A 15,377-nucleotide genomic window follows, 5' to 3' on the forward strand; every position below is an offset into this window, starting at 1 on the left:
ATTAAACATTTTCAGTGCTTTGAAAAATATACTCAGTAATGGGATGGCTGGGTCAAATGGTATTTCCAGTTCTAGATCCTTGAGGAATCGCCACACTGACTTCCACAATGGTTGAACTAGTTTACAGTCCCACCAACAGTGTAAAAGTGTTCCTATTTCTCCACATCCTCTCCAGCACCTGTTGTTTCCTGACTTTTTAATGATTGCCATTCTAACTGGTGTGAGATGGTATCTCATTGCGGTTTTGATTTGCATTTCTCTGATGGCCAGTGATGATGAGCATTTTTTCATGTGTTTTTTGGCTGCATAAATGTCTTCTTTTGAGAAGTGTCTGTTCATGTCCTTCGCCCACTTTTTGATGGTGTTGTTTGTTTTTTTCTTGTAAATTTGTTTGAGTTCATTGTAGATTCTGGATATTAGCCCTTTGTCAGATGAGTAGGTTGCGGAGCCATAAAAAATGATGAGTTCATGTCCTTTGTAGGGACATGGATGAAATTGGAAATCATCATTCTCAGTAAACTATCGCAAGGAGAAAAAACCAAACACCACATATTCTCACTCATAGGTGGGAATTGAACAATGAGAACACATGGACACAGGAAGGGGAACATCACACTCTGGGGACTGTTGTGGGGTGGGGGGAGGGGGGAGGGATAGCATCGGGAGATATACCTAATGCTAGATGATGAGTTAGTGGGTGCAGCGCACCAGCATGGCACATGTATACATATGTAACTAACCTGCACAATGTGCACATGTACCCTAAAACTTAAAGTATAATTAAAAAAAAAAAAAAAGAAAAGAAAAAAAAAGAAAAATATACTGAGTTAGAAAAACATATCTGAACATCTAGTAAAGTATAAAATATGTGGGTAATTTTAAATGAAAAACTCATTACTTTCGGCCAGGCATGGTGGCTCACGCCTATTATCCCAGCACTTTGGGAGGCCCAGGCGGGCGAATCATGAGGTCAGGAGATTGAGACCATCCTGGATAACACAGTGAAACCCCATCTCTACTAAAAATACAAAAAATTAGCTGGGCATGGTGGCGGGCGCCTGTAGTCGCAGCTACTCGGGAGGCTGAGGCAGGAGAATGGCGTGAACCCAGGAGGCGGAGCTTGCAGCGAGCCCAGATCGCGCCACTGCACTCCAGCCTAGGCAACAGTGCGAGACTCCATCTCAAAAAAATAAACAAATAAATAAAATAAAAAAATAAAAAACTCATTACTTCAATTCCGTAACAGACCTTACATTCATTTCACTTTATAGCAATTACTTTTACCAATAATGTAATTATGTTGTTTTAAATATTAAGATTTTATGTAATGTTTAACAAAATTACATTCCCTTTTTTACATCTATCTAAAGAGATTTGAGAGATAATGAAATTTAACACAATAAAATTTAAACCTTAGAACTTTTTAAAAAATCTAAATTTTTATACTGTCATACTTTGTTTTACAAAATGAGGACAAAAAAGTTTAGGAACCTTAAAATATTAACACTTTTGTGCGTGAAAAATACAGCTTTTATATAAATTGTTGAGTCTTTGTTAATCATAATTAAAGTTAACAAAAAATGAACATAATTTACAAGTAATTTAAATATTCAGGATAAGCACCCTTGCAAATAAGAGTTTATTATGGAAATTCTAACAGACTTTTTACTGCTGATGACCTCATTGTGTTATTTGAATTAGTCTCCTGAGGCCAAAAGAAAAGGCTCATAACAATTTATAAATGAATCTTCCTCTCTTGTGTAACATTATGTGTCCCTTTGAAACACTAATTTTCTACTACTTCTCTTGTTAAAATTAAGCCTTCGAGGGATCTTCATAGTTAATTATAAATATTAAATTTTGAAATAAAGTAGACATTGTACTTAGTACTCTTGTTTTCTCTGTAAACATACTTAATTTATAGTATGCAACTTAAATCAAAATAATGTGCTTATTTGATACCATAAGCACGGACTCTGTATACCATTAATCCAAAATCAGACAAAAACTGAAGCTAAGGCAGTTTGCTATTTGAAATCATGAAGATGGTATGCTGGAAATTCCTAATGATTAGATGTGCTAAAATTTTGAGACTGTGATGCAATTAAGCACATGCTTTTTGAAGAAATCAGTATAGGGATTAGCATCATAATCAGTAAATAGGGTGGTGGTACTGATAGGAGAGGTCTTAGTGGCCTCAGCAAAATGCTTTCCAAGGAATCCGAATTTCCTGGATTATTCCATCACCCTTAGGTGTGTAGTTTAACAGTAAAAAGGATAGTTGTTCCATCTATATACTAACAGAATGAGACTAACATTCTATCAGGCTTCCATATGGAGGGTTGTCTTTCACACTCTGGGTAACTGGCTGTTAAGACAAGGTTTTCACTAATATGGTTGTCAAATGGTCAATCTCTTCACCTTCCCTCCATTGGGTTTCCTGTATTCCAAGCTAAATTTTCATTATGTAGCTTATTAAGTAGAAGGAAAATAACGAAACTGTTGGTGTGGCCTTAACAGTTTAAACTAGATCACCTCTGATAATCTAGTTAACAAAAACTTGGTAAAGTCTAGATACTTTGTACTATGAATTATCCTCTTGGGCAGTTTATAACAAGTGTAATGATTTGTAATTAATATCAAAATCCAGTATGGTTAAAAATGTAATACAAAATAATGTATTTATGCTGTATGGCTAAAATGAATTAACAGTGAAATACTGAAAGTATAAAGATTTATTATCTAGGATATCTAATATGACTGTATTAAACAAAATATTTTTTTTCTTTTAATAGCCAATTGGTGCTTTGAACCCCAAGAGAGCTGTGTTTTATGCAGAGCGTTATGAGACATGGGAAGATGATCAAAGCCCACCCTACCATTATAATACCCATTATTCAACAGCAACATCTACTTTATCCTGGCTTGTTCGAATTGTGAGTATCTTCATTGAGTTAGCTTGCCTTTGGTACCTTAAAATTTTAACATAAGTAAATTAAATAAAAATCAAATCAGTTGTAATTTGATTAACAAAGATTAGAGACGAGTGAAGTAGAAATTAAAGATTTCAAAGTAGCAAAATATGAATTTTTTTTATTGAGTTGTCTCATTTGCAAAATTGGATTAGGAAGATAGTTATCTGTTGCTAGGTATTATGAGCTTAAACCAAACCAGTTGTCCAGTTATAAAGGAGCCAAAATTGAGTACATACCTTTTTTTTTTTTTTTTTCAGTGAGAGGGTCTCTCACTCTGCCACTGAGGCTAGAGTTGCAGTAGCACTATCATAGCTCACAGCAGCCTTGAACCCCTGGGCTCAAAGGATCTTCCTGCCTCAGCCTCCCGAGTAACTAGAACTACAGGCATGTAACACCTTGCGCATCTATTATTTTTTTATTTCTCTTCTTTTTTTTTTTTTGAGACAGAGTCTCGCTCTGTTGCCCAGGCTGGAGTGCAATGGCATGACCTCGGCTTACTGCAATCTCCGCCTCCCAGGTTCAAGTGATTCTCCTCCCTCAGCCTCCAGAGTAGTTGGGATTACAGATGCCCACCACCACGCCCAGCTAATTTTTGTATTTTTAGTAGAGACAGCGTTTCACCATGTTGGCCAGGCTGGTCTTGAACTCCTGACCTCAGGTGATCCACCTGTCTTGGCCTCCCAAAGTACTGGGATTACAGGCGTGAGCCACCACGCCCGGCCCAGCTATTATTTTTAAACATGGGATCTCACTTTGTTCCCCACGCTGGTCTCTCACTTTTGTTCTCCTGGGCTCAGGTGATCCTCCTGCCTTACCTCCCTAAGCACTGGGATTACAGGTGTGAGCCACCACACCTAGCCCTGGAGTGCATTCTTAATACCCACTGCCTCCTTTCTCACAAATGAGGCACACTGGCACTTGCTCTCCCCCCCTCCCTCATTCTTTCTTCTTGGGCAGCATGTTTTAAAACCAGTTTCCAAATGTTTTGAAAACCTCTTTCTGTTACTTTTCTCTTTCTCCTAGGACATAAATATATTTAAGTCTCACTGACCTTAAAAAAAAAAAGCCTCCTGCCAGCCTCCGCCCACTCTGAAGTTCTTTCCCATCTCTCTCCCTGCACAGTCAGATTCCTGAAAGCACAACCTCTGCTGTCCTGCAGTGCACTGTGGTACCTGTTGCCTCTACTTTATCACCTCCCATTCAGTCTTTAGCCTGGTTGATTTCAGTTCCACATCCATCACTTTACTGAACTGTTTTGGGGAGGTCACATATTATGCAGATAGAGCATCCCATTTTTTACCTATCATGTCTCTTGAAGCATTTCACGCTATTGCTAATCTCTCCTTGAAATTTTCTTTCAAGTTCCTTTTACAATACCCTCTCCTGGTTTGCCTCCTGTCATCCTAACTGTTCTGCTCAGTCTCCTGTTCAGATTGTTTTTCCTTAATGTTCCTCTTCTACAGGATTTTTCTTTATATTTCAGCTGAGCTGTGTCATTCAGTTACAAGCTAGTGATTTCCAGCTTCTCTCTTCTTTGCAAACATTTCTCATGGGTTCCTGACCCATATTTCCAAGTGCCTACTAGATATTTCTACCTGAACATCTCACAGTACCATAAGCAGCATTTCAATAAATGAACTCCTCATCTCCCTCATGTACCTGCTGTGGTTAAATGCCGTGATTATTCACTCAGCTGCCCAATCTAGAAATTGGGAAGCTTTTTCCTAGATATTTTCTCTGTCTTTCCAACCTCTTACATCCAGTCAGACATCCACAGATTCTACCAACTAAATATCTCTATCTCCTTTTCTGTATACTGTGGCACTTTCTTTAATTTAGATTCCCATTCTCTCTCGCCTAGAGTATTGCCAAAGCTCTTAACAAACCTCTTTTCCTTTATTCTTGCCTTCTCCATTCTGGTCTAGATAGGAGCACTATAAGTGACTGAGGAGTATTGTAGAATGCTAAATTAAATCTCTTAATCAATAATTTTTCCCCTTATTAAGATATACCTCAGACCACTCTATTGTATGGGGCTGATGTGTCCAAGAAACACATTGGTAAAGCAGAGTATATGAAACTGCATCTCCTGTCTTCGAAAATATTTTTTCCCTTCACCTAAATGACAGCTCTAGTTTGTAGGTCTTCCTTAGGCATTCTCTCCATTATGGGGAAAAAATTAACTTTCTACAGAAATTTAGTATGAATACATTTTAAGTAACTTGGAAACCACTGATAGGTGACAAACTACAATTATTTTTGTTAAGAAAAATGTTGTCAGAATTATGATTCTGTTTGAGCACAGATTTTATCCCTTTCATAATTCTACACCAGCATAAGAAGTTAAGGAAGTCTGGACTAACTAGTCTTTTGAGAAAACAAACCCAAATCTTACTTTTAAAAATGAACTCTGTAATGATAAACTAAAGGAAAAGACATAAAACTATTTTTAGACCAAAGTTATTAAATCAGTCTAGTTTATCCAAACATTCACCTTAATTCTGTGAACTTGGATTCTTTTATAAAAAATGTTTCTGAGTTAGAAGTTTCTTGAGAAATACTTTTTAAATCCGGCACTTTTAAAGTATAGATGTTCTCTTTTTTATTTTCTGTTAATTTTGAGAATATTAGATTTATGTCATTGCCTATTTATCTCTATAAAGCAATCAGAACAGAGCATCTTTAGTTTCTGGGTGATAATAATAATTCCAGAAGTAGGAAAATACTTCACACTCACAAGAGGCAAATGCTTTTCAAATTCCAGATACATGGACACATAAAGAGCTTATAACTTCCAACCTGCAGTTTCAGCCACAAGTCAAAACTAAACAAAGTCACAAAAATTTACCAGTCAAGATCTCAAAAGAGCTGGCTTTCTTTATAATAGATATAAAATATGCTCTTAATTGATTTGAACTCTCAAATAGTCAGACAAGAATACAAAAAAACTAATTAATTGGATTCGCTGATCACCAAATGATCAGACCATAAAACCAAAACTACATTCTCAATCATTACTGCCGCCAGTGGAAAATTACCTATTAGCTGTGCGGAAACCAGAAACAAACAAAAAAATCAGTAGAAGGAGTAAATTTTAAAACCTAGAAAAAAAAAGTCACTGGAGTTCAAATTCTGTTTGCTGCCTAGGGTCCACCCTGGAAGCTAAGAAAAGATGTACCTGGGCTTAAGTAGCCCATGAGATATATTTCTTAAGCTACACAGTCAATTTGAGTTCATCAGGTTAGTCCACATGGAACTCTCAAGGGGACCACCAAAACTGTTAGCAAAGGAAATTTTTGGAAAACACTGAAACTAGAGATTTTCACCCTGGGAGGCCTTTTCATACCACCTCAGGTCCCGTCAATGACAATCATTGCCTTAGTGAGCCACCACCATGGAGGGAGCAGGACACCTCTTGCAGGTACTTTGGGGATGAGGAAAAAGGTCAGGAGTCCTTCCTGAGAAAATGTTATCAACTGGGTTGTTTGGAGAATTAAATGAGAGTATATATATGATAGTATTTTGAAATACATAAAGTGGTATTCACTGTTTTTTTACCTAATCAAGTTAGTCTGAAGCCAGATTTACAAGACTTCTTCAAGTGTGACTCCATAAGAATACTTGTTATGAACAGCCTAAGTTAACCTCATCTATCCCTAATCAGCTAAACACTTTCTCAAATCATAACTCAGAATTTATTCTTAAGTAGATTTATTATTCCAGCGAAATGGAATTCAAACTTGAATCTATGCAAGGGTATGCCAGAATATTCTGCACATTTATCCTACACATGCCCTTGTCTATAGCAGTGCTGCACAACAGAAATATAATGTAAACTACCATGTGACTTAAAATTTCTAGTAGCCACATTTATAAGTAAAAAAAGAAACAGGTAAAATTAATTTTAATAAATATATTTGTTAATCTACTATTTCCAAAATGTTATCATTTAAACATGTAACCAATATAAAAATGTAAAATAAGGCATTTTACATTTTACATTTTTGGAGGGAGGGTACTGAGTCTTTGAAATTCAGAGTGTATTTTATATTTACAGTGCATCTCAATTTGAACTAGCCACACTTCAAGTGCTCAATAGTGACATGTGGCTAGTGGCTACTGTTTTGGACAGATCTATAAAACTGCTTTTTTGGAGACTCAGCCCAAATATCTTATGTCACGTGGTTATAAATAAAAGTATCAGTCTAATGGTTTACTAAGTATTTATCCTTATGGTCCAGGGAATTGTAATGTCCTCACTCCCATTCCAAGGAGTTTATGAAATAGAAAATGCATTAAAATTTGGGTCACTAAGAATTTGTTCACAAAAATAAAATACACATTAAAATAAGTGTCTGTCCTTTACCTTAGACCTTTTAGACCTAGTCATTAAACTTGTTATTTGTTTCAATGTACTTAGTATAACAACAATAATAATTGCTTAAAAATGCTAATTAACTACATACTTCATTACTTTAAATTAAAAATATTATTTTAAACAAACTACCAGTGAAATCACTTGTCTACAATATGAGACCCTGAAAAGACTGTTTTCCTGACAGCTGCCATTGGGCAAATCATGAATAAACTTATAGCAGTGTTTGGAGTTTCTTCAGATATTAATATTAAAAGACACATTTTACTTGGAATGTTTTTACTTTACAACTTACCCTAGACATATAACATGTATACAGAAGTAATTAAATCTTTTTCCCTGGCTTGCTGACCACTCAGTAACTCGTTCACCTTCCAAATTCAGTATATTCAACCCTCCTATTCAAAACTCATTCGTCAAACATTTCATAATTTCCAAGGAAGTGATGTTTAGAATTTGACACTTTCTGTGTAAATTATGGCTTGTTTTGAAAGCTTACCCTAAAGCCTCTTTAAACCATAATGTGTCTTTAAAAGTATATATGTATAGTAGAAACATTTTTGCAAGTGTTGTAACTAAAACCAAAAGATAGTGCTACTGAATAAAATATTGTTGTTTATCTTGAATACTGAGGCATTAAGGACAATGCATATTTACTCAGAGGAAGATGAGAAATACTTAACCAAGAGCCTAGTGCATGGTAGGTACATAGGTTAATTAGTGAAAACTTTTGGAAGATTCTAAAAGATACTTCTTGGCTCTTGGAAGAGAAATAGGAGAAAATAAACTTCTGGAATTAGACAAAGGCCATTAGAAATAATGGTTCCTCCATTTGTTAGAATGTGACCTTGAATTTTCTCAGATATAAAAGGGGAATAATTACACCTACTCTGAAGGGCGATAGTAGGGATTCAGTTAACTTAGATAATACAGAGCCTGGCACAGAAAAATGCTTTGTAGCTGTTATTTCCCTTCCCTTTGTATTTTATTATGCTTCCAATCACTTCAAATATACATCTTTTCTTTGCTATAGTTATGTCCCAGGCACTACCTATTACCCATAAACGAGATTTGTTTTGGCTTTTAAATGGAATGAAGAGAAGGAAAAGAAGAACAGAACAGAACTACAAGAAGCGAAGGATGTAAAAGATTATTATGAGATGACTAAGCGAAAATCGTGTAAGACAGAAGAATGAAGAAGTTGAGTAAAGAGAAGAGGCAACAGGGAAACGGCATTAGATGCCCACGATGGAATTAGTTGATCTGTAATCATCCAAAAGCAAGAAAGGCTGTTAGTGTCTTCAGAGGGGACTAAGGGGTATGATAGAATACAGAAGGACAGGTACTTTCCAGTGCAGGCAAGGTGAGTTTTCCATCACTGAAAAAGGGTTGGAAGATATGAAATGATGTTGGAGTGGATGTAATTAGGAGAAGAAAGTCTGCCATTGGCCATTTATATTGCAGGACCTAACCTGAACTTTGTAAAGACTAACGAGTTCCAGAATTGTAATTCCTGAAATTACCGTTTAATATGTATTCATTTATACATCTTATCTCCCATGCCTAAAACTTTTCTAATATAATGGTGAAATGTCCAATCTGTTGATGTACACATGGAAAATGGCCCAATTGACAGGTAGTAGGCAAATAAATATAAAAGTTTTTTAAGGTTAATATAGCACCTAATCCTCTATGTTAGTCAGACATGAGTCAAATGAAAAAGAAAGGCTCTGCATTGTGGCTTGAAGGTAAAAGGGAAACACATGGAAAAAGCAATCTCCACAGTAATCAGAGCTTGAAAGATCAATACTTACTTATAAACAAATAGGTTATCAATTTCTATTAGTACTCTACCACTGTAGCAACTGGAGGCCTTCAGGTATAATGAGAATATATGTCAGTAATGTAATATGTGACCTTAAGACAGTTGTTAATCAGATCTTTTTAAAAGCTATTTAAAACACTGAAATGTGGAATTCAATATTCTCTGCTTTTAGGTGCCACCAGATTCATTCATAACTTTGTTACCGGAAATAAATATAATTCTTTAATTTCAGATTTCTTTTCACTAAGCCCATCTGTGCTATTCTTGGCATGTCTTTGTTAAGAGTTGAAAACTAGACAGGATTTTGTAATTTAGGTTGAGGTGGAGATCAGCTTTTAGCGGCTGATGATAAGAAGTACGGCTTTGCATGTATAAATGGGTTTTCACTCACATCTGTTTAATAGGTTAAAAAACCTAGAGACAAGCCTGATCCCTCTAAATTAATCTCTGCCCACTACCTACAGTGAAAATTAAATGCCTTACATCAGCATCCTGCAATAATAAAGTGGGTTCTGAAGATAAAACTTTTTGGTCAAACCTACTAGTAGTTAAGAACTGAAAAGAAAACCCGTATCTTACTCTCACCCACCATACTCCCATCTCCCAACAATACCTTGTATGTTTAGGTGTATTTAACACACATTTGTTAAACATTGTTAGCCATGTGCTGTGCTTGGGGCTGGGGATAGAGAGATAAATAAGGCCTTAGGAACTGGCAGTCTGGTGGGAAGTCCAACAGTGAATACTTGGTACAGTGCGTAAAGCTGGTAGTCATTTTCATAACTCTGTGCCAGGTAAGATACATCAAGCTTTCTCTATGTTATTTCATTTAATCTTATTTAATCCCATAATTCCCCCAAGGTATTGTCATTCCCAGTTTACATAGATGAAGGAATGGAGACAGTTGCTTGACACAGTTACTTAAGGTTAAGTAAGCTTGCCCAAGATAGAGAAATAGTTCCACCAAGATTCAAACTTAAATCTGTCATATTGCATTCAGTTTACCATTGCTGCATCTACAATTTTTATATCCCCATTTTATTTAATATAATTTAGTGACAGATATGTTATTTTCACTACCTTATTTTTAATAGTGAATTAAACATCTAAAAAGCAAATAAATTAGTGAAAGACATGTCATATAATTTTTTTCTAACTTAATTTCACTAACATTTATTTATTTCTCATATCACTTAAAATCCTAAACAGCAATATGGACTTCTTGGATGCATATCTGATTTTCAGGTGAATCAATACTGTCCCCCTTACTTGTATATTGTTTTTTCATTGTTGATCTTATCTCTTTCATCACCCTTTTCTCTCATCCAACACTGAACATGAAATAGTGGCAACATATTACAAGTTTACAAAATTGATGACATCTGGCCATACTAAATTTCAGGGAGATATTGAGGAAGATCAGTATTTGTTGCTTTTACTCCAACAGCCAGCCCTTAAGGTTAGTGGCAAGAAAGGGAGTTTAAGGGGGCAAAGTATGTCCCCTTTGTACATACATACAAAGGAATTGTAAAGCATACAAAGGAATGAACAGAGATTACATATTAAAGAAAGAGGACTAAAATATTTTGGAAAATGTCATGTAGGTTTCTTAGCATTATTGAACCTGGGAATGACATGTCATTCATCCTAGACTTGAGAGAGAAGAATTGAAGCAGGGAAAGGGAAATATGTATCTATCTTTGCTATAATTGTAGTTAAGAAATCCTTAGCAGAAATGAATGTTATTTAATCCTTTTAAACTTGGAAGCAAATTTAATGACATCAAAAACATAAGAACAACCTAAGAACTCCCAGTGTGAGAACTCCCAACTTAAGAATTACAGGTAAAGCATTAAAATTAAATGCATTAGGACATTGCAATAAAGTTATTCCTAGGTTTTCTGCTATAGGAACATGTACTGGATGGCAGACACTATGTTATCCAAAGACAATAGTCACAGAATGCAAAAAGGTCTAGTTCATCTACTGTCATTTGTACTTACTTTATTCTTCGTTCAACAGATTATATATTGAGCAACTTCTATGTACCAGGAGTTGTTCTAAGTGTTGGAGATAAAACAATGAATAAGGTAGATACGGAACCTACTCATAGTGGGGAATATAGACAGATTAACAATCAATTAAAACCAGTGTGATAAATGTTTCAGTGCTGTTTGAGGAAACACAGATTGCTATTTGAGCATACTGGAGAGCCGTGGTAGCGCAAGGAAAGTTTTTCAGGAGAAAATGACATCATGGCTGAGTCTTAAAGGATAAAAAGAACTTAGTCAGGTCAGAATAGTGAAATAAATGGGTAAGTTTATACCCGGCCTAGGGAACATCACAGACAAAGGACAAGAGGTGAGAGTAGTGTGGCAAGATTTTAGAGTGTGAAGAGGGGAATGGTGAGAGATAAGAGTTAAGCAGGTTCCAGATCATTCAGCCTCTTGTAAAACAAATTAGGTAGTTTAGACTCTCTCCTAATCACTCCCAAGAGCTATTGAAGGTTTTTAAGCAGGGATTTGCATTTTAAAAACATTATCAGACCATAAGGTAGTACTAATACTTTCGTAGTCTTTCACAGGTAATCATGGACATTCTCTACCTAATTCCACACTGCAGTGATCAGTATCAGAGTGATTTTTGTGATCAGTATCAGAGTGATTTTTGTGATCAGTATCAGAGTGATTTTTCTTATTGCAATGTTAGTGTATATATAGCCTTAATTATTCGAAAGAAAAATCCAACTTATGAATTGTCATTAATGCAAAATTATTTATCAGAAAATCGTAGAGCACTGGAACCCCATCATTTCACAGATGAGAAGACCAGAAGCAAAATGACCTGCCAGAGTTGCAGACTGACAACTGCTGCCTTGGCCTAGTCAAGCCCAGACAGGCATCTCCTACTGCCTTAATTTGGGGGCATCTTTCTAGGACCCTGATCTGCCTCCACATCTTGAAGGATTTTCAAGATAGCCATGTTTCACAAAGGAACGAGGGCAGCTGTGTTTAGAGTGGTCAAATTTCTGATTCTGTTTTTTTGCTTAGGAACCTTTCACAACCTTCTTCCTCAATGCAAATGATGGAAAATTTGATCATCCAGATCGAACCTTCTCATCCGTTGCAAGGTCTTGGAGAACTAGTCAGAGAGATACTTCTGATGTAAAGGTAGGCTCTTTTATTTGTTGATATTCATTAAATTTCAAAATATGTGGAAATTTTGATTTTTTTAAGTGGGTATGTATAAGACATTTTATATTGCAGCTTTGTTCCATCATATTAAAATTATATGGTACATCTAACCTTATAGGAAATAATTTTGAACATTATAGAAAATAACTGAAAATTCTTTCATATTACCCAGTGAAGGTGTTTTCGTTATTTCAAAAAATTCCTACCTAATTTAGATCAAATAATCAGGAGATGTGAAAAGCCTATAAAATGCCTTTCCTGCTGTTAACTCAATATTTGGTCCATTCCATAAAACACAGCAGGAATTGGATTTGACCTTAATGTGTCATATTGTTATAGCTTGCCTGGCTTGGGGTTTGCGTAGCCTGGGGCAATTAATAAAGCATTAATGACAAGACCCATTTAAAATGTAGGCTTTTCCGTATAGCCTTAGCTTTTACTTGACTGTGCCTGGGGATACTATGCAACAATACACATTAGATTAAACCAACACACACACAATATCCAGAAACAGCCAGAGAGCAGAGTAATTTTACAGTTGGTACTGCTTAACTATTGTTAAATACAAGGATTTGTTATTCATTTATATGGGCTCCTATTTTAAAAAAGAAAAACATTGTATTCAAAGCAATAATATATATTTGTTCTCTCATTTGTCTCATTTTTTTTCCTGATAATAAGGTTACATGGCCAGGTTATTGCATAGGTAAATGTGTTTCTTATTTTAAGCTCATTTTCTTCAAGGCACATTTTTTTCCCATTACTGTCACTCAGTACAAAAATGTTACGGTATCATTCCATTTAGAGCCTTAAACCAACAAAAGTTAGTGAGTTAAAATCAAAATTGTCATTCACATATTTATGCTTCTCTATTGCAAAACATTTGTAAAAGGCAATTTCAGTGTTACTGAACTGTAATTGGATGAATACAAGTTTTGTTCAGTATTTTTCCAAAGCAGAAAATAAAGGAAATGGAGCCAAGTAGATTGTAACATATCTGTGTGTTTTACTTGTTGTTGTCAAACTTTACATAAATGAATATTTATTCATACAACATATTTACATTTGTAAAAAAAATAAGAGAATTTAATATGCATCCTTACTATATTAAGCTTTGAAGTTCTAACGGTCTTACAACTTTGCTGAGACTTAAACTCTAAAATATCCATAAGCCATCATTTAAAATGATTTGTTACCAGTGAAGTCAAGGAGGGAGTCTGTTTCTTATATAATAACACTTTGAGAATTAATACAGAAAATGGGAGTCCATAGGCTCCCATTGAACAGTAGTATCCAGAATTCACACAATGTTCATAAAAGGCACTCAAATATTTTGTATGTGAATTAAATATTCTTATCTGTAATTGAAGGCTTCTTATCGCAGTTAAGATTATTGATATTTTAAATCAGAGCTATATCCATATTATATCAGCCTATTTCAAATGAAAATGCCTGCTCACTGTTGTTTGACATCATCACACACACACACACACACACACACACACACACACACACACACAAATTGGCTTTTCAACTTAATTCAGAGATCCACCCTCACATATTTGGGGGTCAGTCATTCTAATTTTTATATACAGTTTTAGATTTCACTTCCTAGCCTGAGAATTTCACTGATGCTTTATACCACCAGTCTCTGATAACCGATGCCCTGTACCGGGCTTTTTCCTCTAAATTCTCCCAGAAATTTTCCTCTTCAAAACCCTTTCAGAAACATTTACATTTTATTACTAATTGTATTTGGGGGGCTCCTGGGTTCACATCATCCAGGACAAAGACCAATGTGGATATCACTAACTTGGGAGTTTTTTTGTTTTTTATCCTCAAGCAGCTGTACTGAACACAAACATGCAGCTTTTTTTTTCCCCAAAGACTTAATTAGTTCATAAGAAGCTCATTTCCCCAGGATGACATTACACAGATTGCTCTCATTTTCAGCTCTCTTACCACCACTCATGAACCTTTCATATTATATGTTAATACATCTTAGATATCTTGCCATGTAGACTTCCCCTTTCTTTTTAAAGGCAGCATGCTACATATATACAATAATTTATATATGTGATCTCTGGTTGATGGAGAATCTTTCTCCCTGATTGTTACTATGAAGCACAAGGCTGTAGTGAACATCTTTGCACAGACATCCTGATGGACTCCTTCTATATACATAAAGGCTAATTCTTATTAATGGGACTGATGGCTCAAAGACAATATACTTTTTTTATTTTTTAAGATATTGCCAAACCATCATCCTCAAAGATGAAAATTCACTCTCTACAGCAGTGTGCAAGGGTACCTCCTTCCCCGTGCCCCCTACACCCATCATCACTATTGTATTAAACAATGGAACTTCTGCTAGTCTGGCAAGTGAAAAATTAAGTTATGTTTGTTTTAGTTTGCATTTTTTTTTGAGTGACGTGGAACATTTTTCATGTACTTATTGACCTGTACACTGACTCCTATCTATTGCTCATTTTTCAGTTGGGTCACATGTCTTTTTCTTACTGATTTGAAAAAGATCTTTGAAGTTGCAGAAGGTTCCATTGCAAGTAGGGTTTCTTGGTCGTCTTAGCTTTGTTATGGTTCGTTTAATGTGTGTGTGCGTGTGCGTGTGTGTGCATGTGTGTGTGTATGTGTGTGTGTGTCCAGTCAAATATATTTATATTCCCCTCTATAGCATCAGAATTTGAGGTCCTCATGACCAGAGTGTTAAAGAGAAGATAAGACTTTTGGGTAATAACTAGTGCTAACTTGAGAATCTTCTGAATTCATGATTAAACCTGATTTATCAGAGAAAAATATGTTGCTACGAGTAGTAATTGTTTTGCTACTTGTGTGTTAGAACCTAAAGTTTTTATTCTTATTTCTAAGCTGTTAAAGCACAGCATGATATATTTTTTAAGGAAGTGTGTTTCCATTTCCAGAGAAGAAAAGTATCTCTGCAATGTCTACTAACTTAGTCAGTTAATCACATAGGAGAGAACTAGGATGCA

General features: G+C 35.5%; 1 protein-coding gene across 15 annotated transcripts in view; it reads left to right on the forward strand.

Annotated features, from left to right (window-relative positions):
* Positions 1-15,377, forward strand: part of NBEA (neurobeachin) — a 730,467-nt gene that overhangs the window by 638,833 nt on the left and 76,257 nt on the right. For 14 of the 15 annotated variants that reach the window (XM_047430271.1, NM_001385012.1, XM_006719803.4 and 11 more), the window contains 2 exons: positions 2,796-2,936; positions 12,226-12,345. In XM_047430271.1, the coding sequence (XP_047286227.1) occupies positions 2,796-2,936; positions 12,226-12,345 (261 nt within the window). Of the gene's footprint in view, positions 1-2,795; positions 2,937-8,383; positions 8,532-12,225; positions 12,346-15,377 lie in introns of those variants that run through there. The other variant, XM_011535047.3, reaches the window with a different exon arrangement.

This window comes from Homo sapiens, chromosome 13 (genome assembly GCF_000001405.40).
Source record: "Homo sapiens chromosome 13, GRCh38.p14 Primary Assembly".
Classification (NCBI taxonomy): Eukaryota; Metazoa; Chordata; class Mammalia; order Primates; family Hominidae; genus Homo; species Homo sapiens.